This window comes from Homo sapiens, chromosome 10 (genome assembly GCF_000001405.40).
Source record: "Homo sapiens chromosome 10, GRCh38.p14 Primary Assembly".
Taxonomy (NCBI): Eukaryota; Metazoa; Chordata; class Mammalia; order Primates; family Hominidae; genus Homo; species Homo sapiens.
The window spans coordinates 132,627,283-132,650,508 of NC_000010.11; the positions used below are offsets into that span (position 1 = coordinate 132,627,283).

Here is a 23,226-nt window from a genome sequence, read left to right on the forward strand (position 1 = left end):
GGGTGGACAGGCTGGGAATACCTCACCTTGGGTGCTCCCAGGAGGCTTCACGGGGAGACCGGGGCCGGGAGCTGCTGCTGGCTCCACACCTGTCCTGAGAGGGTCTGTCCTGGCCGCTGAGCAGGTGGGTCTGGAGGGCGGTGGGGCTGGCGGTGCTGGGCGCGGCTCCCAAGATGCGTGCAGCTGTCCGCGGTGGCTGCCTCGTCCAGCAGCGTCCCTGCCAGAAGTGGGTGCTTTGAGGGCCAGTGCCTGGTCTGTCCCGACTCCCTCTGTGTCCCCAGCTGCCAGCAACGTGCAGCGGATGACAAGTGAAATGAACGAGGGAGTGAGAGCCGAAAAAGACACCTTCCAGGAATCGTGGTGAAAGCAGCGAGCACAGTGTGGTCCGGGGCTGGGGGTGTGAGATGGCTGGGATTATAGTGAGAGGCGAGACAGGGGATGCAGACGGGTAGATGCCACAGGGCCTCCTCTTCCCCGTGAAAAGCTTCAGACTTTCTTCATCCTCAGGGTAACGGCAGCCACGGACAGATTTGTGAGGACCTTTGGTTGGAGTATTGGAAACCGGGAGGGGTGAGGCCGTGGAGAGAGCCGTGTGGGGGAGGTGCCCAGGCTGGAGTGGCGGCGTCGGGTGTGGAGAGAAACTGGAGATAAGGGACGCGAATCTGACTCGGTGACTTTGTTGTTGATGTTGATGTCTTCACTGGTTGCCATTGCCCAGGAGGGTGTTTACAGCACAGCGCTCTGATCAGCAGCTGCGGATCTACTCTTGGTGAAGAGCAACCATTAGATTAGGCTCAAGTGTGGAAATTAACCGCAAACCAGATTCTAAAAGCAGACCTCCTGCCAGTGGTCTGGTCTCCTTTGGAAGACAGTGTGATCCTTGTCTGCCTGACGCAGCTCAGGCCCATTCCTACCAGCTCAGTAAGGGCCGGCATGGCTGAGAGCCCATCGTGGACCCTGGGAGGAGACTGATGGGAGGCTCCCCTTTCTGGGCTGTGTAACCTCACCGTGCCCCGCTTCCTCGTGAGCATGCACCCATGGCTGGCAATGACTGTGAGGAGTGACAGAGTGAATTCCACCGGGCCGGCAGCACCATTCAGGAAGCACTAACTGCTGTGAGGGCCTGGAGCCCTGTGCCCTATGGTGGCCGCCCCCTCTCCCTCCAGATGTGCTCTGGTGGCGGGGGGGGGGGGGGGCGTGGCGTGGGGGACACGTAGAAGGAAACATGGCTGTTTATTTCCTTTCCGGATGGGGAAGGCTTTTCTAAACTCCACATAGTTGAAGGAATTTGTAGAGGCAAAGACTGATGGATTCGAGTAAATAAAACTGGCAGGACTTTTCTTAGGCTCTTAGAGTTTAAATGTGATTAAAAGGCAGACTGGGAATATATTTTTAAAAACAACAATAGGCTGGTTTAACAATTTTTATAAAGAACTCTTATAAATGAAAGAGAACATGTAAAATTCCAATAGAAAGATGGTCAAAAGCTTCTCTTAGAATCTAGCCCAGCCCCATCCAATAGAAATGGTGTGTAAAGTGCATATGTCATTTCAAAGTTTGAAGAGTCACATTTTAAAAAGCAAAAAGAAATAGGTGAAATTATTTTAATAATATATTTTATTTCACCCAGTGTATCTAGAATGTTATCATTTCAACATATAATCAGTATACAGTTATTAATGAGACATGTTATCTGTTTTTGTGTGGCCTTCAGAACCGGGTGTGTTTGACCCTGAGCCGTGGCCGCACAGATGGCAGGAGCGAGGGGAGGTGGCTGCCAGGTAGTGCCCCTTCCTTGCTTACAGCTGAAGCAGCACCTGGCATTCCCATTCTTGGCCTCTGGGTGCCGAGGGTGGGTCCATTTGGCTGCCTGACGTGTGTCCCCAGCACTGCAGATGGGTGGTTCCTCTTTAAGCTACCTGGTGTTATACAGCAGTGGCCTCAAACTTGCTCTTGCCCTCTGACCCCAGCCCTCCCCTCCTAAGAGCTCCAGAAACACAGACTCCACGTGAGGGAACCCCAGCTCTGTTGTAGGGCAGTGCGCTGCCCGCCTGCTCAACTTCAGGTGACGAATGGCCCCATCCTCTCGAGCCAGGGCCCTGCAGCTGTTCAGTGTCTTCATGAACTTTCAGTGACTCAGGAAAGTGGCTGAAGATAAAAATCTCATCGTACATCTTTGAAGGGAGTTGTGTTACATTTGCATGCATAGCGGAAGATTGGCTGTGGGGCGACGGGAGACCTGAACAGAAGGTTCTTCTGTGTCCCCTCTTTTTCTGGAAGTCTCCAGTGTGGCTCCAGGGTTGGTGCTAGTGGCTGTGGAATGAGTGTTCACTTGCTGCTGCGTGGTTTGGCCCTTCCCTCTGCATTGTGCGGACAGCCCTGTGCTGCGGCAGTTCTCCACATGCATTCCACACGTGAGCATCCATGAGGGGTGGGTATCCACAAGGGAATGGCATCCACGATGGCCAGGTGGCCTCCGGGGAAGCTGTCCTCCAGGGAAGGCATCCATGAGGGAGGGTCCATGAGTGGAGGGTATCCATGAGGGAGGGGTGTCCACAAGGGCAGGGTGTCCTCCAGGGGAAGCTGCCCTCCAGGGAAAGACAATCATAAGGGGAAAGTGTCCATAAGGGGAAGGCATCCAAGAAGGGTGGGCGTCCTTGAGGGGAGAGTGTTCTTGAGGGCAAAGCGTTCTTGAGGGAACGTCATCCTCGAGGGAAAAGCATCCTCCAGGGGAAGGTGGCATCCATGAGGGAAAGGTGTTCATGGAGGAGGGCGTCCTCGAGGATAGGGTACCCTCTAGGGAAAGACATCCTTCAGAAAGGCATCTATGAGGGGATGATGTCCTCCAGGAAAAGGCGTCTATGAGGGAAAGCCATCCATGAAGAAAAGGCGTCCATGAGGGTAAGGTGTCCATGAGGGGAAGGCGTCCATGAGGGAAAGCTGTCCATGAGGGGAAGACGTCCATGAGGGGAAGGCGTCCATGAGGGGAAGGCATCCTTGAGGGGAAGGCATCCTCCAGGGATATGTGTCTGTGAGGGGAGGGTGTCCTCTAGGGAAAGGCCTCCATGAGGGAAAGACGTCCTTGAGGGGAGGTGTCCTTGAGGAAAAGATGTCTATGAGGAGATGGTGTCCATAAGGGAAAGGTGCCCATGAGGGGAGGGTGTCCTTGAGGGGAAGGCAAGCTCTAGGGAAAGGCATACATGAAGAGAGGCCATCCTTGAGGAAAAGGCATCCATGAGGGAAAGGCTTTCATGAGGGAAAGATGTCCATGAGGGGAAGACATCCATGAGAGGAAGACGTCCATGAGGGGAAGACGTCCATGAGGGGAAGACATCCATGAGGGGAAGACATCCATGAGGGGAAGACATCCATGAGGGGAAGACATCCATGAGGGGAAGGCATCAGTGAAGTGAAAGTGTCCATGAGGGTGGGGGGCGGGTGGGGCCTCGGTCGCACCTGCCATGACCCTGGACTTAACCTTGCCCTGCCCTGTGCGGTGGTGGGGGCCGGGAGGCGGCGGGGGCGGCGGGGGACGTGCTTCTTAAACTAGAGCTGATTTGTGGGAGCTTCGATGGCCCAAGCCCGGACTTTGTTCGGGTTAGAGCCCTGCGTTTCCACCTCTGCCCGTGGCGTCTCCGGCAGCAGCTTCTGGCTCCATCTGCAGATTTGCTTAAGTCACTTGCCCTATCTCTGGGGGGAAGGCTGCTGCATGTGGTCAGTGTGGTAGAACCCACAGTCTCCCCAAAAAACCTCTAGGCTGTGCTTGGGTGGGGCCTGCTGGGTCCCACACCCCTCCCCATGGTGGCCCAGCCCCACGCAGGGCCAAGGAAAGGCAGCTCCAGATCACACAGGCTGGCCAGGCTGCCTGCGGTGAGGTCATGGAAACTCATGGTGTCCTGTGTGCAGGGCGGAGAGAAGAACAGGCCCCTGCCCACACAGCTGCTCCGTGTGCCCTGGCCGGTCCCATCGGCTGCGCCTTGAGGAGGCTGTCTGACCAGGGGCCTGTGGGAACCTGGGTCTGGTTGGTCACAAACAGGCCTCTTTCTGGGGTCCCAGCACCCGTTGCAGCCCAGCCCAGCCCCGAAGGGACCTGGAGAGGAGAGCCCCCACCCAGGGCAAGGGTGGGCAGCGGGGATTTTAAACAGGGTGTTTTCCAGGCGTCGTTGGCAAGTAACTGTGGCCTTTTTCTATCAAGAAATTCCCGTGTCCCTCTGCGCGCCTTATCTTGGCATGGGGCTTCCACTGGGGTGCTGTGCAGGATGTAATTCCTTTTTAGGTCACTCCGATACTCCTCTTTGGAGAACGCCTGACAGGGCCTGGCTGTTGCTATTTTTAACACCGAGTCTTGGCCGTGCCGATGGACGTGGCCTGGGCAGGCCTGTGCTGCCTGTTTCCTGGGAACCAGGGGCCCTTCGTGCTGGGCCCCGCTCCGCGGCAGAAGCAGGGTGCTGCTTGTTTGGCTGGTGAACGTGCTTTTTCTTGCCATGCCTTTCCAAGATATTTTTCCTGGGCCTTCCTATGAAGCATCCAGTTCAAGGACACTATAATAAAACAACCCATGTGGTTTTATTGACTGCCCTTTTTTCCTTTAAGGTAGGAGCACCTGCTTTTTCACTGTAGAATTTTGGTGAAGAAAATGCACAGCTTTGGGCCGTGACTTCCCCGATAGTTCCAAGGTCACGCATGCCAGTGTCATTGTCACTCAGGGCGTGAAGTGCTGAGCAGAAGCTCAGACTCGTGGGTGGAGATGTGCACCCCCATGGGGGTTGTGTCTCTTCACAGCCCTGCCTGGTAACCTGGGGACACTCGGTCACATCTGTGCTTTGCAGCAGTGTGTTTCCAGCCAGGCCTGACCCAAGCGTGCTGTCCGACACTGTGGCGTGGCCTTTCCTGTCCATCCTCTGCGGTCCAGCAATATGTTTTGTTGAAGGGATCTTTGTCCAGGATCGTGCAGGCTGCAGAGGCTCCCAGGCCAGCCCTGGGGAGCTGCTTGGCTTTCTGCAGCTGCCTAGAGCTCTGTGTGTGTCCCTGTCCTCCCGGATGCCAGGGCGCCTGTGTCCCCTGTGGCTGTATCTCTCTGGCACGGGCCAACGCCTGTGGTGTGAGTAGCTGTGTCTGGCTGGTGTCACCTCACTCTGTCCAGCCTGTGCTGAGCCTGGATGCCAGCATTGTTGACACCTCACAGCGACCGTCTCAGGAAGGCATGTGCCGAAGTGGATCCTCTGAGAGGCAGGAACCAGGCCCCAGAATTCCCGCCAGGAAGGGGTCCAGCAGGAGCCCGTGCCCGGTGTGCTTCCTGGAAAGCCCACACTTCCACCCACCACCACTGCACCCCGCCCAGATTGTCATGGGCACTGACTGAATTGATCAGGAACTTGGGAGCCAGGTGTGAAATGCAGCCATTATTAAAAATCAAATTATATAAACCTGTAATAAAGTAAATATATTAAAACCAAAGGCAATAAATGCCCCACACTCATCCCTTCCTAATTATTGTACTGTTACGTATGATCTTGACTATTTAGCTCTGTGTCTGGGTGAGGGAAATACTCACACAGTATTTGATGTGTGAATGATGGTGCCTTGCCGAGCACCTCTCCTACCCCAGGTTCAGTGATGCCACATCGGTGGCTTAGCGTTGGCCATGGCGGGGCATTCACACCTCGGAAGGGCAGTCCCAGGGCCTCGCCTGGAGAGCTAGTATTGAGAGCTTTCGAGCACACCACTGCCTGGGGAGTTGGGGGGCTGGTTCTGTCTCCCTTCCCCATGGAGGAGGCCTCTGTCCCCAGGGCAGGGGCTCCTGGGTGCTGGCTTACTTGGTCAGGTAAAGACATTGCAACAAAGGTGCCCTGTCCCTGGCTGCCTTTTGTGGTGGTGCTAGCCACCCATCAGCTTCAGTAGTGAGCTCCCGGACCTCAGCCCCTGCCTGGCTCCCTTTAGTGGGCGAGGTGCTTGAATCCTGGCTGTTGGGAGTCATTGCTCATCAGTGAAGCATTTACATTTACCCGGTACATTCTGCAGCTTCACTCACTTGCAGAGGAAATATTTTTTTTTCTGTTAGCCAAAAATGTCCAATAGTAGGTCACGAAAACCCATCCTCTTCAAATGAGCTATTTTGAGTTTCTCGCCTTGTGCAGTGACTAAATCTGTTTTAAAACGAAGTCTCTGATGTGCGTGTCTGTCGGCTCTGGTGAGGCCACTGCAGGTGCCCAAGCGTGGAGTGGGTTCGTACTGTCTGAGCCTGGGCACCGCACCTCCTCCAGAGCTGGCAAACAGAAGTGTTTTCAAGCTGAATCCCCAAGCAGGACGTTGGTAAGAAACAGAGATTCCCTCTTTTCTCCCTGGCCTTGCCATTATGAGACCAGGAAAGATCACAGACCTCAGAGAAGGTCATGATTTTTCCATTGTTCAGAGGCACTCACTCGAAGGCCCTGGGGGTGGCTTTGCGCAGCTCCAGGGCTCCTGCCTTGGGTGTTGCTGGCTGGAGGGAATGTGTTTTTTGGGTTTCTGGTTTTGTTCCTACAGAGTTAGTTAAACAGTGAGCACGTTCAGCAAACTTATTGTGACGATTTCAAGCCCATATAAACATGGAGAGAATCCTTTCCGTGCCCAGCACCCACGCTCAGCTGTGAAGCTCGTGGCCAGTTCTGCTTCAGACCCCTCCACCTGCTCTTCCCACCCCTGAGCATTTGAAGCAAAAACCAGACAGTGCATCACTTCATTCGTGACTATTTCAGTAGGTATTTCAAAGAATACAGACCCTACACAGTAGCTTTATATCTAAAAAGATGATCAGTAATTCCAACCTATTCAATATCCAGTTAGGATTTAGATGTTCTCAGTTGTCTCATAATTGTTTTTTACAGTTCATGTGTTACAATTAATTGATGTTTTGATGGAAATTGTTTTGTAGCTTTCGTGAAGTTAGGAGTGCCATCTCCCTTGGCGGGTGTGCCCCGGAGAGGCGTGTCATCTCCCTTGGCAGGTGTGCCCCGGAGAGGCGTATCATCTCCCTTGGTGGGTGTGCCCCGGAGAGGCGTATCATCTCCCTTGGTGGGTGTGCCCCGGAGAGGCGTATCATCTCCCTTGGTGGGTGTGCCCCAGAGAGGCATGTCATCTCCCTTGGGTGTGCCCCGGAGAGGCGTGTCATCTCCCTTGGTGAGTGTGCCACGGAGAGGAGTATGCATTCTGTGTTCTGCAGGTGTCAGATGTGGTTTTCTGTCGTGCCAAGTGGACCACGGAGCTTGACTGTGTCCTGCATCTTGACTGCTTGTGTGTGTTGGTCTAGATCCATTGAGTGCCAAGGGAGGGCGCTAAAGTCTCCTACAGTGGTTGTGGGATTGTCTGTTTCTCCTTTGTTCTGTCAACCTCTGCCCAGTGTGTTTTTTGTTATTAGCCATATACACATTTGTGGTTGTGCTGTCTTCCTGAGAGTTGTCTCGGTCATCACGAATGTTCTTCTTCGTCTCCTGGAGCCTTGGTCCAATGAATGTTGCCGCCACTGCGGCTCACGGTGGCCCTCCCAGGCTCTCGGCCGGCAGCCCTGCCTGGCTCACCGCAGCCCTCCCAGGCTCATGGCTGGTGTGGTGTGTGCTTTCCTGTTTGCTCTCTGTCTGTTTGTGTCTTTATCCTGAAAGTGTGTCTCTTACAGGCAGTGTGTCCTTCAGTCTTGTTTTTTATCCACCCTGTAGCTCCCAGCCTTGCAATTGGAAAGTCCAGAACAGCCTCAGCTGACGGAACTTCCTGATGAGAGTTCCAGTCTGTGGCATTCACAATGGCAGCCACTGGCCACCTGTGGCTTTTGATGGCGCATATTTGAAATGTGATTCGTGCTGTCAAAGAACTCAGTTTTTAAACATTTATTTCGTTTTCTTTTAAATAGCCACATTTGACTTGTGACAGCTAGATAACACAGTGCCAGTCTAGACCACTAACCCTGTTATAACTGTTGATGTGGTTGAATTGGGGTCTGCCATTTTTTATTTTTCTGTTTGTACACTGGTTTTTGTACCCTTTTCCCCTCATTCCTGCTGTCTTTTGAATTATTTAATTTTTTTTGGCATTCCATTTTTATTTCTTTATTGGCTGTTTGCCTTTTTAAAGATTTTTTTTTTTTTTTTTTTTTTTTTTTGAGACGGAGTCTCGCTCTGTTGCCCAGGCTGGAGTGCAGTGGCGCGATCTTGGCTCACTGCAAACTCCGCCTCCCGGGTTCATGCCATTCTCCTGCCTCAGCCTCCTGAGTAGCTGGGACTACAGGTGCCCGCCACCATGCCCGGCTAATTTTTTGTATTTTTAGTAGAGATGGGGTTTCACTGTGTTAGCCAGGATGGTCTCGATCTCCTGACCTCGTGACCCGCCCTCCTCAGCCTCCCAAAGTGCTGGGATTACACGCATGAGCCATTGCGCCCGGCCCTTTTTAAAGATATTTTTAAAGCTACTTGGGAGGGTGAGGTGGGAGGGTTGCTTGAGGCCAGGAGTTTGAGACCAGCCTGAGCAACATAGCAAGATCCCTGTCTCTCGAAGATTTAAAAAAAAAAAAAATTAGCTGGGTTTGGTGGTGCACACCTGTTGTCCCAGCATCAGGAGGCTGGAGGCTAAGCCAGAAGGATAACTGAAGCCTGGGAGGTGGAGACTGCAGTGAGCTGTGATCACACCACAGCACTTCAGCCTGGGTGACAGAGCGAAATCCTATCTCAAAGACAAAAAAAAAAAAAAAAAAGGCATATTCAAGTGGTTGCTAGTTAATATTGTACTACTTCATGTGCAATGTTGAAATCTTGAAATCACATAGGTTTCTATATGGCATGTATTCCATCTGTGTACGTTGAAAATCCCAGTTGGAAATATTATTTCAAAAAAATGCTTTATTGGATAAACAAAATGTGTGTGTGTGTGTGTGTGTGTGTATTTTCTATACCACACACATATATGCAATGTAATATTCGGCCATAAAAAGAATGAAATCGTCTTTTGCAGCAACGTGGATAGAACTTGCTTTACTTCTTCCGTGAAACAGCTCAGAAAGTCAGTCCACATGTTCTCCCTTCTAAATGGGAGTGAGGGATGAGAGTCACCTAAGGGTACAGTGTGCACACGATTCGAGTGGTGGTTACACTGAAAGCCCTGGCTTTAGCCCTGTGCAAAACAGCCACGTCACAAAACTGCACTGTACCCCTTACATGTATACAAATTTAAAAAATGAACTCAGCATCAGCAAACTGCACTCCCTCCACCCTGGTTTGCAGCCCAAGCCAGCCTGCTGCACGCCTTTGGAAATCGAGGTTGTGGACGCACAGCCACCCCCAGTCGCTCCTGTCCCTTGGGGCTGCCCTTGCGCTGCTGAGCAGGGACCACAGAGCTCCCATGTCCATTTGGTTATTTATGGAAGAGAACCAGCCCTGCCTTCCTGGATTCCTCAGAAAGGGCTGATGGGGGCAAAATTTCCCAAATTTTTGTACGTTGAAAACTGTTTTGTATAGTTTTGGAATTTGAAGGATGCTTTGCTGGATAAATCGCCCTTGGTTCAGGCCTCATTTCACTGAGATGTTTAGGAAAGGTCATTCTGTTGTCGTCTTAGTGCGTATGTTGGGTTTGAAGAGACTGGTGCTGGTCCGATTCTTTACATTTTATTTTTATTTTTATTTTTTTCTCTTTGAGATGGAGCCTCGCTCTGTCGCCAGGCTGGAGTGCAGTGGCACAATCTCAGCTCACTGAAACTTCCGCCTCCCGGGTTCAAGCGATTCTCCTGCCTCAGCCTCCCAAGTAGGTAGGACTACAAGCGTGCGCCACCAGGCCCAGCTAATTTTTGCATTTTTAGTAGAGACGGGGTTTGACCATGTTGGCCAGGATGGTCTTGATCTCCTGACCTTGTGGTTGATCCGCCCGCTGCCTCGGCCTCCCAAAGTGGTGGGATTACAGGCGTGAGCCACCTGTTGTTTAATTGATCTTTTTTACCTGGAGGCCATGAGGATCTTATCTTTATCTTTGAAATCTTGGAGTTGATTACTTTGGGTTAATTTTCTGAAGTATTCAGTGAGCCTTTCAGTGTATAAGTGCGGGTCTTTTTCTGTTTTGAAGTTTTCCTGGGTTATAGTTTTAAATGTTAGGTGTTTCAGGTGAGTGTGTAAGTGCGGGTCTTTTTCTGTTTTGAAGTTTTCCTGGGTTATAGTTTTAAATGTTAGGTGTTTCGGGTGTCCTTTGGGTCCCTGATCCTCCAAATGTTCCTCCTTCTCTGCCTGTCTCCCACGGTCACTTCTTTCTCTCACGCTGTTTTCTCTGTGCGATTTTGCTTTCTCAGTGGATTTTTCTGGTTTTGATGCCCATGTTGGGGTTTCCTTCCAGTGACTCTCCTGGCGCCTGCTGTGGCTGTCCTCCTCTGTCATGACTGTTCTGTGCTTTGCCTTTGCCGCCCCCGAGGTTGATGGGCGCTCTCCGTCTCTTTCTCCCAGTGGTCCATTCTGTGTTTTAGTTTCGCATCTCTGATGTGAGGTGGTTTTTCATATTCTCGACTGCTTGAGTAGATTTGATTTTATCTGCAATGTGGGCTCCCGTCCTGTTCTGCCTCACGGTCGTTTTCCTCAGGTCGGGCACGTTTTCCTCAGTTTGTGTGTGTACAATTTTTTGTCTTTTTTTTACAGCCGTTTTGTAGGGACTTCCTTTTGCTCATCTTTAGTGGGAGTATGGGGTTTGCAAGATTCCTAATTTAATAGCACCCTCTTGTGTTGGTATTGCAAAGTCCAAGTGCATTCGCTGGCTTTGGAAGTTGGGCAGTGATTGGGGTCTGGGAGTTGTTCGTTCTCTGATTTGCTGGCGCTCTTTCTCTTTCAAGTCCCTCTTTTCCTGCCTTTTCTTCCTTTCTCCTTTGCCACCTGGTGACTCAGGGCTGCTACTTCTCTCTCTTTTTAGAAATATTTTTCTCTTCTTCGTTGGTAGTGTCTCAGTAGTGCCCTTGAAGCATGGCTGTCCTGCTAGGCTGGGCCTCCCACTTTCCATCACAGCAGCCTCCAAGTCTCGCCTTGTGTTCCAACCCACGCTCGGATGTGCTGGGATGCTCTTCCAGAATCTTCAGCCTCCGGACTTGCTGGCTGTGTGTTTGACTCTCTGTGTGTCTCTTCCCTGGTGTCTCCCTTCCCTCTCTTGTGGTGTTTCTTGCTGTGCCTTTGTGCTTCACAAAGCCTCACACCCCAGCGGGGGCAGTCCCGGAGCCCGAGAGATCACCTTCTGGAGTCTGGATTTTTCCTCATTTTATTCACTGCTATTTGTAGCTCCCAATTTTATTTTATTTATTTATTTGTTTATTTTTTGAGACAGAATGTCGCTCTGTCACCCAGGCTGGAGTGCAGTGGCACAATCTCGGAGCACTGCAGCCTCTGCCTCTTGGGCTTATGTGATTCTCCTGCCTTAGCCTCCCAAGTAGCTGGGATCACAGGTGTATGCAACCATGCCTGGCTAATTTTTGTATTTTTAGTAGAGACGGGGTTTCACCATGTTGGCCAGGCTGGTCTCGAACTTCTGACCTCAGGTGATCCACCCGCCTCGGCCTCCCAAATTGCTGGGATTAGAGGTGTGAGCCATTGAGCCTGGCAGCTTCCACTTTTTCTTCAAGCCACGCTGAGGCTGCAATTTGGGTTTTTCTCTCTATATAAGTTACATATATATATGACATAGTTTATATGTTACATTCATTATATATCACATCCCCTGCCTACATAGAAAATTGGGGAGCAAATTTTTGGGACTAGGCTGTCTTCAGCTACCCTGGAGGCTCATTCTATGTATTTTAAAGAACCCAAGAAGAAAAAATATAATCTTTTATATTTACCCAGATGCTTCCCATTTTTCCTGCCTTTCCTTATTCTTGGAGATCCAAGCTGCCCCCAGATCATTCCCCTCCAGCCCTGCCCAGCCATCAGTTTCCAGCAGACCTGCTGGTGGAACATTTGCTTAGTTTTCTTTTGTGTGAAAATGTTTCCCTTTGCCTTCATTCCTGAGGGATATTTTCAATAGATACTGACTTCTGGGTTGACTTTTTTTTTTTTTTTCCTTAAGCACTTTAAAGGCCTTGTTCCACTGTCTTTTGGCCTCCAGGTTTCCTGATAAGAAATCCGTGGTAATTTGAATTGTTGACTCCTTCCTGTATGTGTGTTCTGTTACTTCTGTCCAGTTGGTTTCAGAAGTTTTTTCTATTAATACATCTTTGTTTTTCCTCAATTTGATTATGATAAAATGTGGCACAGATATGCCTAGATAGGAATTTCTTTGAATTTATCTTGTTATTTGTTTGAATTTATCTTGTTATGCACTCACTGAGGTTCTAGAATCTGTAAATGTATGTCTTTCACTAAATTTGGGGACATTTTGGCCGTTGTTTTTTCCAAGTGTTTTTCTCATGCACCATCTGTTTCTCCTCTCCTTCTGTTGCTCCGACTACGCGTAGAGTAGATGTGATGCCATTTTCTGGAGGCTCTGCTGGCTTTTGCTGAACCTTTGTGCTTTCTGTTCTTTGATTTCAGTAATTTCTACTGACTTATTTTCAGATTTGCCAGCTGTTCTCTGTCATCTTCATTTTACCATTGAGTTCTTCTGGTCATTTATTTTAGATGTTGTATAAATGTTTTTAGTTTTTGAAATTTCCATTTGTTTCTCCTTTATAGTTTCTGTTGAAATTTTCTGTCTTTTCATTTATTTCAAGAGTATTTACTTTGACCTCATGGAGCATGTTGTAGTTGTTGCTTGAAAACCTTCCTCTGCTGTGTCCGGCATTGGTGTTGTCTTAGTGGTGGCATCTGTCTGTCATTCTTTCTATTAAATGTGGGCCATGTTTTCAGATTCCGATAACTCAGGGTTGTGTCCTGGTCATTGTGGATGCTGCGTTGTATAGACACTGGCTTTTCTTACGGTTCTCAGCATGCACGCATTCACCCTGATGAGGTACAGACCATAAGCTCAGTCTCATGCTGGGTGCTGGTCAGAGCCCACCTCACTGCTCAGAGCCTCTGCTCGCTCACGTGGGTTGTCACACATGTGTGTGTTTGGGGTTATTGGAGACTCAAGCGGCTTCATACACAGACTTAGGGTTCCCTCTTCCTAGCTCTTCCCTCCAGGGTTGCCCCACACCGTCCGGCTAGCCTGGGTTTCTTTCTGTTGCTCTTCTGGCCAGAGAGAGGGTGGGGTTTCCTCTGGATTTGTAGGGTCCACATTCTGCTGCTCCCGTAAGTGTGGCCCAGGCTTGGGCAAAGCCCGAAGAGGGAAAGAATAAGAGGCTCGCCCTGTGTATCACTTCTCCAGGCTCTGACTCCCGGCGCTGCCTGTCTGCCTCTCTTTACCTCTCAGCCTCCTCGGGCACATGTTTTGTTTGTAGTGTGTGGTTGTCCTCGGCGGGAACAGTGGCCTCCGAGGGCCACATGCTCCCATGGCAAAACCGGAGCCCCTGCTGATATGCCCTTGTAGTGCCTTTTAGTTGATGCGTGTCTCTGTATACCTTCTTTTCTCTCGGCCGTTTCCTGTTCTTCTTTGCCCCTCTTTGCCAGCACTTATCTGTGGAAGGCATCCAGTGTCCCCCACACAGTGTCCGTGGTCCTGTGGCTGGAGGTGTCCTGTGGCTGTGCTCAGCGTGCTGTCTCCCATTTCCTGGAATCGGCCTCCGTCGAGATCCGACGTGGGTTCAGTTTTTCCGCCGGGATGCTCTGCCATGGCGTTACAGCTTTCATCGGGAGGCATGTACTCTGTTCACCCCTCTGTCTGTGTCTCTTTGTGGTATTAGCAGCTGCTGGTGTTCACTGCCTCGATTCACTGCGTCATTAAGAATTGTAAAATGGCTGTATTCTAATTCTACCATTTCTTTTTCACTTTTTGGTAGGAGTGTTTCTGTAAAGAGGGACTGTGTCCCCTGTGCTTTTCCAGAGACACTGTTTGTCCAAGAAAGGCAGGATAACACGTTGCTCCATTCCCCTTATTTGCCAGTTTTCCAAACAATGTCGGGATTTAAAATAACACCCTGATTTCAAGATGACCAATGCCTGGAGACTCTCAGGCTCATTATGTACTCATGGATATAAACTTTCTTGTTGTGCCGATCCATTCTAGACCATAATTCTGTCTCCTAGATGGAGTTTATAATATGTGAAGTTATATTTCTCCATACAGCTAACTAGTCCAGCTATCCGGATAGATCTAACCAGGATGTCTTCCTTCTCCTTCATGAATTCCTCAGACAGTTTGCCTGTGCCTTTGTGGAGTGAGACGACCCCGTGCCAGAGGGCGATTTTCTGAGCCCAGTCTTTCAGCAGAAGCTCCAGGGACTGGGTGTTAACTCACCTGCAGTCTGTTCCAGCACAGCTTCGCAAGGGCCCCGTGTTGTAAACTGTGCGTGGAGGTAGTTTGATTTGTGGGTGTGGAGGAACAATAGCATCATCTGCTGCCATTCAGTGCCCTGCTCTTTTCTATAGTCGTTCATTGCTTTTCTTCTGAAACTTCTCATGGTAAAGATCTTATCATTTTGATAACTTGGTTTTCAAAGGAAGTGTGGCCTTTCGTCTGTTTGGGGTACCCATCTCCATAACCTGTTGCAGATGTGTGGGAACCCCGGGCTTCTCCTGATGCAACATTCTGTGTTTCTGAAGCGTCCTCTCACTTCAGCTTTGAGGGCGTCATCACCCCTGTGCATGGTCAGGGTGTGGAGCACACCAGCAGGGCTCCCCAGTGTGGACCAGTGCTGGCGCATCACGGTTCAGGGCTCATGGTCCAGTGGGAGGGGATGTGGAGAGCAGCCTGTGACCACAGAAGAAAAGGAGGTTCACAAAGCCATCTGGGAGTCCAGCGGGAAGGGGCGGCCTTCTGGGAACAGCCTGGAGCTCGTCTGCGGTCTGGGGACAGCCTGGAGCCCGTCTGCGGTCTGGGGACAGCCTGGAGCCCATCTGCAGAGGAGGCCTGGGGCGTGGGAGTGGGTGGAGGCGTTTCCAGCAGAGGGGCAGCAGCAGAGCCCCAGCGTGCAGCACTTGCTCTGTGCAGTGTCCGGCGGGCTGGGGACGACATCTGAGAAGCCCTGGTGTCCTCGGTTCTTCTCCACGCGGTTCGCCGGCCATCCTCTCGCATCAGGGCTGTGTCTCACTGTGCGTCTGGCGTTCCGGGGCCCCTGATGTGGTGGCTATGCCAGCATAGCTGCAGTTTCTCCACCGCCTTACTCCTGCCGTGACAGCCCAGGAAATGCTGTAAAATCTAGTTATCCGTGGGGTCGTTGGAATCTGAGGACACATCTTTTCTTGTGATGGCGTTTGCCTACAGAGCTGTGTGCGTCGCAGCCCCCTCTCCTCCCCTGTCACTCCGGGAGCAGGGGTCCCCTCTGTTTGAGCAGGCCTGGCCTTTGTTGGGCTTTGCTGAGGAGCTCATCCATGTCACGTACACTTGCTGTTGAGAGAAACCAAGCTGTCCCGCTTTAAATTAGTGGGACCGTTTGTCAATAACTGCATGAAAATATATACGTAAGACTTCTGACCCAACTGTCCATGTGGAGGGGCGGCCGCACGTGGGGATAAAGACCTGCCGATGAAGCGCAGTGGTAATTTTACATGTCATAACTCTTCATCATCCTGCTTTTCTGTCACGTGCTTGAAATCTTGCCAGCTTGGGGAAACTGAGAGTATGTGCTGTTGACGTAGCTGAGCTCACGTTCCGTCCAGTACAAAGCAGGTGTTGCCAGGTCGCTCTGTGGGAGATGTTGACTTTAAATGAATGTCACGGAGAGAGGAGTCATTTTCCTCAGTTGTTTATTTAAACTTAGTGATTTGTTAAAATTTAGTTTCAAATACTATTAATTAGCAAGGTCATTGGGTTGACCAATTAAGATATATTGAATATAGGGGGGTTTTTTTCTCCCATAGAGGTATGGTTTAATCAGTTAGCTCTGCTAGTATATAGAAGGAATTCAACTATTAAAGACTAAGAAAGGCACAAAATAAACCTAAACACATCCAAGTTATCACTGAATATTGTACTACTGCCACTGTCTTTCTCTGGGTGGTACAGGAGTTGAGGCAGTCTAGTGAGAAAAGTCACGGGCCTGAAGGATTTTGAGGCCAGATGTGGGGACTCACACCTGTAGTCCCAGCACTTTGGGAGGCTGAGGTGGGAGATCACTCGAGCCCAGGAGTTGGAGGCTGCTGTGAGCTATGATCACACTACTGTACTCCAGCCTGGGCAACAGAGTGAGACCCTGTCTCAAATGAAATTAAATGAAATAAAATTAAATTAAATAACCTATAAGTGTAATAAATATGTTGTCTTAGGACGGGCAGCTTAGTGTTTGGATTCTGAGACCTAGCAGGAATGGTGAAGGGACGGGGCATGAGAGGAAGTCAAAGGGCATAAAAGCATCAGCCTGGCCCAGGTCTGAGGATGCTGTGAGTTACTAATTCTGCTGGTGCATTCGAGGTGCTGTGACCAAGGCCAGGAGCTCTGGCATAGAAGCAAAAGCCAGCGTCGGTTCCTGTGCCCAGCCCTGCGCCACTATGCCCACAGCATCCATCACCTTGGGTCCTGGCGCCCTGTGAGTGAGGAGAGTGCTGACATCGCCTCCCACTCACAGGGGGTCGTGGAGGCTCCGGAGCTTGGTGACCCCGTGGTGTCCTAGGGCGTGTAGACACAGGCCTCTTCCATGCCAGGGAGGCGTGGCAGATCTCAAGCCCACCCACTCTTCCCCCACCCTCGGACACCACAACAAAACCAGAGTTGTGCATCAAGACAGCTGGAACCAGACCACCGGAAACACTCAGACCACCGGCACCAAGGGTTGTCTGTTTTCAGAACTTCTGTTGTTTTGAGCACAGCCCAAAGGGACAGCTGGCCCTTGGGAACCACGTTGGGCCGTCTGTTAGGGAGAAGTGCACTGCCTGGGCCTGAAGGCAGTGGGCTGTCTGGCCTCCTGAGTGCCCGGGGAGCCCACGCCCACGCCCAGGAGGGAGGGGCCCACTCGGTGCATCCACGCAGAGGCGGCTGCGAACTCAGGCACGGCCGCCCTTGTCTCCTGCTGCCGCTGCCACCTGCAGCACAGACGGAGCCTGTGCACGGGGCCTGGTCAGAGCTGTTTCTGTCTCCCCAGCCTGAGCCCCGTCTTCACCTGCAGCACAGACAGGGCCTGTCCGCCGGGCTTGGTTGGAACCATTTCTGTCTCCCCAGCCTGAGCCCGTCGTCCCTTGCTGGCTGCCCACTTGCTCAGCTGCGCCCTGGACCGTGGCCGCTGGGCTCCTGGGAGGTGGGCCATGCCCACAGCTCCACCTGGCTCACAGTGAGTGCCGTGTCGTCGTGAGCACCTCCAGGCTCCCAAGCCCAGCACAGACAGCACCGGCCCCTTCTCTCCCCGCCTTTCCGCTCCTCCAAGGAAGCTCGTCCTTTTGGGCCCTCAGTGGCTGTTGTAGCACCACCACCCCGGCACCAGACAGAGAGCCCTGTCGGGGCTTGCTCCTTGGAAGCGCTGCGCATCCTGTGTTCCAGGGGAGCGGGGTCAATCAGTGCCTCACCCCTCATCCTGCTCAAGTGAAATGGGGCTCCCCGACTGCCTCACATGTGTCCCACCCAGGGTTTCCTGCCAGGTGAGATGGTTCGTGTCCTGGCCTGTCAGGACTCCCATGAGTGGCGAGGTGTGCGGTGTGGGGCAGTGGCTGGACTGACAGTGGGAGATAGACGGGGACCTGGAAGGAGGGGAGGCCATGTCGATACTGCATCCGCTCTCTGAATTCTCTGCCCGCGCGTCCTCTCAGAGCCTCATGGTGGAAGCCGCCAGGTCACACAGGAAGCCGCACTGACAAGGATATTTGTTGCACTGCTCTTTAGCTGTAAAAGTTTGGGACAGATTCAGCACGCTGCAGCGGTGATTGCTTGAGTCAGAATCCTTGCTGGGGACCTCAGAGACATGTCGGGGGCCTGGGAGCCTTGATGGGGCGGGCGGGGCAGGGGCACCAGTGGCCGTGATGCCAGGCTCAGGTTCCCGGCTCTGCCACTTAGTGGAAGTGGCCTTGCGTGAGTTGCTGCTGTGTGTCGGCGTCCTCCCAGGCTGTGAGCAGGCGGCGGAGTGCCTGGCTCCTACACACGTGAACACACATGCATACACAGGCACATGTGTACACACACATGCTCCGGCACACGCGTGCTGGTACGTGCTCCCGCACACGTATGCACACGTGTGCACCCTTGCTGGGGTTGTGCCTGGGTGTTGCTAATGGCTGCCTTCCTGGTGAGATTGTGACCAGTTGATCTTGAGGCTCCCAGAGGCTCTGCAGTAAACACGCATAACATTTTTTTAACTAGAAATAAGGCCTCTAGATGATTGAAGAGGCTTCTGAGAAATCTGGACTCTTTTCTATGGAATTTACAGTAATGGGAAAATGAAAAGCACTGGAAATATAAATAACTGGAAGCACAAAGGCGACGTGACTCCTAGAATCTGTCCAGAACCCATGGTCGCAGACATGGGGCCCCGTCTCTGCCAGACCCTGGTGGCTCCCAGGCTGTGGGGGCGGTGGAGGGGGTGGTGCCACGTGTGGCTCTGTGGACGGCTCCGACGACCCTGACAGTGTGCTTCTCTCCCTCCAGGTCGTGCACACACACAAGCCGCACTTCATGGCCTTGCACTGTCAGGAGTTTGGAGGGAAGAACTACGAGGCCTCCATGTCCCACGTGGACAAGTTCGTCAAGTAAGTCTAGGGGCAGGTGCTGGTGCATGTCCACTTCCCAGGGGTGTGGGGTGCCGGCGGGGGTCTTTTCATGGTACTATGATCACCAGCCTCACCATTCGGGACTCACCTGGGGGTCATCTTGGCTGAGTCTCAGTTTTCCAAAGAGAGGAGTGGCCCAGACGTGTGGCCACGAGCCTCCTTGGGGCGGCGACAGAAGGCCACGGAGTGACAGCCTGCTGCCTCCACACGGCGAGGGTCTGTGCTCTCGGGCCAGGGGACGTGAGCCCCAGATACCAGTGGAGCCGTCTCCGTGTGTGTGTGTCTGAGGCCTGGGCCTGTGGTGGCCGGGGTTCACATCCCACTGCGCAGTCTGTCTCAAGGAGGTCGGCAGGGAGCGTCTATCCTCCTTGGGGGCGAAATCTCCATCGTTTAGGAGGAAGGTGCCCCACGTGTATTCCCACTGTACATGCCCTGAGGCTTCTGACAGGGCCGGCCCAACTGGGTCCTGCCTGGGAAGAGGGGGCGCCCGGACCTGGGGCATCCAGGAGTGGACAGGAGCAGGCAGGGGCAGGCAGGCTTGTGTTCAGACATGGGGCCTCCTATAGGCTGTTGCTAATAGTGGCTGCTGTATTTTCCCGAGGCCGCAGCCGTGAAGCCCGCCCTCTGTGTCCCCTACAGTGTGGCCTTGGCACATTCCCATGTTGGGGGCTCGTCTCCACCTCCAGACCCTGGGCAAGCCCTGGCTTCTTCACAGCATGAGGGCTTCTGGGACCAGCCCCCAACATCGCAGAGCTTCACAAAGCTGCCACACTCTGTGGGCCGACGCCGCTGCCACGCTCTGTGGGCCGACGCCGCTGCCACACACTGTGGGCCGACGCTGCTGCCACGCTCTGTGGGTTGACGCTGCTGCCATGCTCTGTGGGTCGATGCAGCCACCCGGAGTCGGGACCTGTGGGCAGAGCCGTCGAGCCCTCCCGGCCTGGTGCCAGTGTGAGTGTGAGCGAGGCTTCAGGCGATCCCAGCCGCTGCATCCTTGCTGTGACATAAGCCCTCCGTGTTGAACTCCCAGCGCAGGGTCCTCGAGCAGAGCAAAGTGGTTTCAGCTGCTAAAAAAAACTGCCACAACTTCCCAAAATAATCTGTAATTTAAGGCATTTTTTTTTTCTTTTTTTTTTTTTGTTTTGAGACGGAGTCTCGCTCTGTTGCCCAGGCTGGAGTGCAGTGGCGTGATCTGAGCTCACTGCAAGCACCGCCTCCTGGATTCATGCCATTCTTCTGCCTCAGCCTCCCGAGTAGCTGGGACTACAGGTGCCCACCACCACACCCAGCTAATTTTTTTGTGTTTTTTTAGTAGAGATGGGGTGTCACCATGTTAGCCAGGATGGCCTCAATCTCCTGACCTTGTGATCTGCCTGCCTTGGCTTCCCAAAGTGCTGGGATTACAGGCATGAACCACCATGCCTGGCCAGTTTAAGGCAGTTTTAATCAAAATCTTAGCGGCATTTTTCCTAACACTCAACAAACTAATACTAAAATTGCCATATAAGAGCAAAGGGTCAAGAATAGTTAAAAGAATCCTGAAGGAAAACAAAGTGGGTTCTCACCCAGCTCGACCCCAAGGCTCATTCCGAAGAAGCAGTGGGGCAGGTGGCATGACGCAGGCCCGGAGAGGAGAGCGGATCGAGGCAGGTGCGCAGCCCAGAGAGTGGAGAGCGGAGTCGAGGCCCCACCCAGACCCTCGCGGCTGCCTTGGAGGAGGGTGGGTGGGGACATGGGCTGGGGCACGGCATCATTGGTGTCCTGTTGGGAAAAATGAAATTGGATCCCTGCTTTGTGTCATAAGCAGCCACTTCTCACTCACCCTACATAAGATGAATTTCAGTTGTATTAATTATATAAATGTAAAAGGCAACATTAAAAATTTCAGTCTAAAATATAGGAGAAAATATAGTTTTGGGATGAGAGATTTCTTTTAAAATGTGCAGGAAGTGCAGCCTACAGAATGGAAGGCTGAAAAATGTGGCCATGTTTGAACTAAGCATTTGCTTATGAAAAGGCACTCAAAATGAAGTCACTCAAAATGAAGTCACTCAAAACAAAATCAAAATTCAGCCACTTCGGGAAAAGATATCTGCAGCACACCTTACTGACAAAAACGAGTGTTTAAATATATGAAGAACTCAGTAAGTCGGTAAGAGAAGGAAAGCAGCCCCTGTTGGGAAGCACCTTCCAGAGGAGAGAAAGTGGGGGTGCACCCTGAGCACGGAGGACGCCGCCCTCACAGCAGGCGGGGACACCGCAGGCCGGACGGGAACGATGCCGCCGTGTTTGGTGTGAGAGCTTCACAGTGGAGTGTGGCCCCCACGGCCTTGTGCCCCCGCGATGCCGTGTGTGTTTCCTTCCTCCGCGCTTTATGCCTAATGTACAGCGTTATGATTTTTGCTTTAAACAATTTTCTTTTTAAAAGATTAAGACGTGAGAGAAACGCCCTTGGTGTGGACCAGTTCACTGGCTTTCAGTGCCCTCCGCCCTTTTGTGTGGATTCTGCTTTTTATCTGGCACCCTTCTCTCTCTGCCTGAAGAACGTTCTTTAACATTTATTTTAGCACAAGTCAGCTGCTCATGAATTTTCTCAGCTTTTGTTTATCTGAAAAAGGTCTTTGTCCTCATTTTTGAAAGCTGTTTTTGTTGTAAATAGAATTCTAGCTTGTCAATTTTTTTTCCTCTCACTACTTTAATGATATCGCCCCATTGTCTTCTGTATTGCATTGTTGCTGGCGAGAATCTCGCCATTGTTCTCTCTTAATTTTCTTGTATATAATGTGCCCTTTCCTCCACTGCTAGGTTTTGTCTTTATAGCTGGTTTGCAGCAACCTGATTATGTTGTACTTTGCTTTGATGTTCTTTATGTTTATCTTGCTTGGGGCCGTTTGAGCATTTGCAGTCTGTGGGTTTATCGTTTTAATCAAATTTGGGGAAAATTTGTCCTTGTCCATTATTTCTTTAAATACTATTTTTCTTTTCCTTCCCTTCTCTTTTGTTCTTAGGCTCCAGTTACCTGATGTTAGATTGCCTGGTTCTGCCCCACAGGGCCCTAAAGCTCTTCTGATTGTTTTCAGCTCATTTTCCCTGTGTTTCGGTTTGGATCGCCTCTGTTGCTGTATTTTTAAGTGGCTGGGCTCTTTTCTGTTGCAGATTTTGATCTTCTCTTAGGTCCATGCAGTCAGTTCGTTTTATTTCTGACATTGTGTTTGTCCACTCCTTCCAGAAGCCTCACGTGTGCTTTCCCTGTCCTCGCTTTTCCTTCCGTCTGTGCGTTCCTTTCGCTGTCTGGTCACAGTTGCAATGACTGTTCCCAGTTGCTTTCAGCTCACTCCGTCATTTTTGCCTCTTCCGGGTCTGTTTCTGTTGACGGCTTCTTCGTAGGATGACGGGACACATTCACGTGGTGTTGCTGCTTCTCATATCAAGTTATTTTCCGTAGGATGGCAGACATTGCGAATGTTACGTTGTTTAGTGTTTGAGCCCTGTTTTCTTCCTTTAAAGCGTGTTGAAGGTTGTGTTTACCAACAGTTAAGCCACATGGGGATCAGTGTGGGTCTGTCAAGGCATTCTTTGCCTTGCCCTTCTCTACTGGTGCAGTTTTATTTTCTTCAATGTGGACCCCCCTTCTTCCTGACACATGGACTGGCTGGATCACAGGGTGCTGGTCTCCTCTCTCCCCACTGGCTTGAATAAGCATGCGTGGGTAGGGGGATGATGGACTGTCTCTGTGGAGGGGCCAGGCAGACGGGGCCTCGTCCTCCGTTCATGGGCTCCAGGGGTGTGCGGTGGCCTCCTGTGCAGCCATGCTTTGCGGAGATGGTGGTGAGCTTGTCTCCTTAAGGCCTTCCTGATGATAAAATGTGACCAGTAGGATGAACGGTCGGGGACAATGGCGTGTCCAGAGGTCCTTTCCCTCCTGTGTGGTTGCAAGGCCGTGGCAACTCAACCACCATTCTCGCTGCCACTTCTGGGAGGAGCAGATGGGGACAGAACTACCTGGGCCCTGGGGTGCATGTGCCCCAACCTGTGTGTGCTGGTGGCTACTGGGGGTCCAATTTCTCTCTTAAGACCAAGCGTGAGCTATCAGGAGAGCCCCCAGAGCTTGGAGTTGCGCTTCCCTGGCATGAGACCTTGGGTGAGTTCTCAATGTCTCCATCCCTGGGATGCCTCAGACCCCGGCATCTCACAGGCTGCGTGGAGACCAGAGCCTGTGGGAGCTTGAGCTCTGCACATGCTGAGAGCTGAACGTGAGGCCAGCTCCTGCGGTGGCTGCCGCCATTCCCTGCCCTCTGCCTGTCACGGGTGGATGGTCTCACGGTGATGTACCTATGTGCTGGAGCCCCTCTTATACCTTGTGGTCATCTCATGAGGTGCAAGGCGTCTGTGTGGCTTTTCCTCAGGAACCTACTTTCTTCCTTCCAGAGAACTATTGTCGAGTGATGCGATGAAAGAATATAACAGGGCTCGAGTCTACCTGGATGAAAACTACAAATCCCAGGAGCACTTCACGGTG

General features: G+C 51.8%; 1 protein-coding gene across 7 annotated transcripts in view, besides 4 other annotated features; it reads left to right on the forward strand.

Annotated features, from left to right (window-relative positions):
* INPP5A (inositol polyphosphate-5-phosphatase A) overlaps positions 1–23,226 on the forward strand; it is a 245,694-nt gene that overhangs the window by 89,496 nt on the left and 132,972 nt on the right. For 6 of the 7 annotated variants that reach the window (XR_001747104.2, XR_945735.2, XR_007061963.1 and 3 more), the window contains exons 3-4: positions 18,586–18,686; positions 23,136–23,223. Coding sequence is in view for 3 of the 7 variants with exons in the window: in NM_005539.5 (NP_005530.3) it covers positions 18,586–18,686; positions 23,136–23,223 (189 nt within the window). In the remaining 4 variants the exon portion in view is untranslated. Of the gene's footprint in view, positions 1–18,585; positions 18,687–23,135; positions 23,224–23,226 lie in introns of those variants that run through there. The other variant, XM_017016204.2, reaches the window with a different exon arrangement.
* Positions 1,243–6,026: an enhancer, noted in NCBI's record as "VISTA enhancer hs1763". NCBI's record gives its function as "enhancer in: heart[4/5]" and the evidence as "EXISTENCE:transgenic organism evidence [ECO:0001131][PMID:17130149]".
* Positions 7,031–7,540: an enhancer, noted in NCBI's record as "H3K4me1 hESC enhancer chr10:134447817-134448326 (GRCh37/hg19 assembly coordinates)". NCBI's record gives its function as "activates a minimal SCP1, AML or CMV promoter by ChIP-STARR-seq in primed H9 embryonic stem cells {active_cell/tissue: H9 hESC(primed)}" and the evidence as "EXISTENCE:reporter gene assay evidence [ECO:0000049][PMID:30033119]".
* Positions 16,606–17,125: an enhancer, noted in NCBI's record as "H3K27ac-H3K4me1 hESC enhancer chr10:134457392-134457911 (GRCh37/hg19 assembly coordinates)". NCBI's record gives its function as "activates a minimal SCP1, AML or CMV promoter by ChIP-STARR-seq in naive H9 embryonic stem cells {active_cell/tissue: H9 hESC(naive)}" and the evidence as "EXISTENCE:reporter gene assay evidence [ECO:0000049][PMID:30033119]".
* Positions 17,126–17,644: an enhancer, noted in NCBI's record as "H3K27ac-H3K4me1 hESC enhancer chr10:134457912-134458430 (GRCh37/hg19 assembly coordinates)". NCBI's record gives its function as "activates a minimal SCP1, AML or CMV promoter by ChIP-STARR-seq in naive H9 embryonic stem cells {active_cell/tissue: H9 hESC(naive)}" and the evidence as "EXISTENCE:reporter gene assay evidence [ECO:0000049][PMID:30033119]".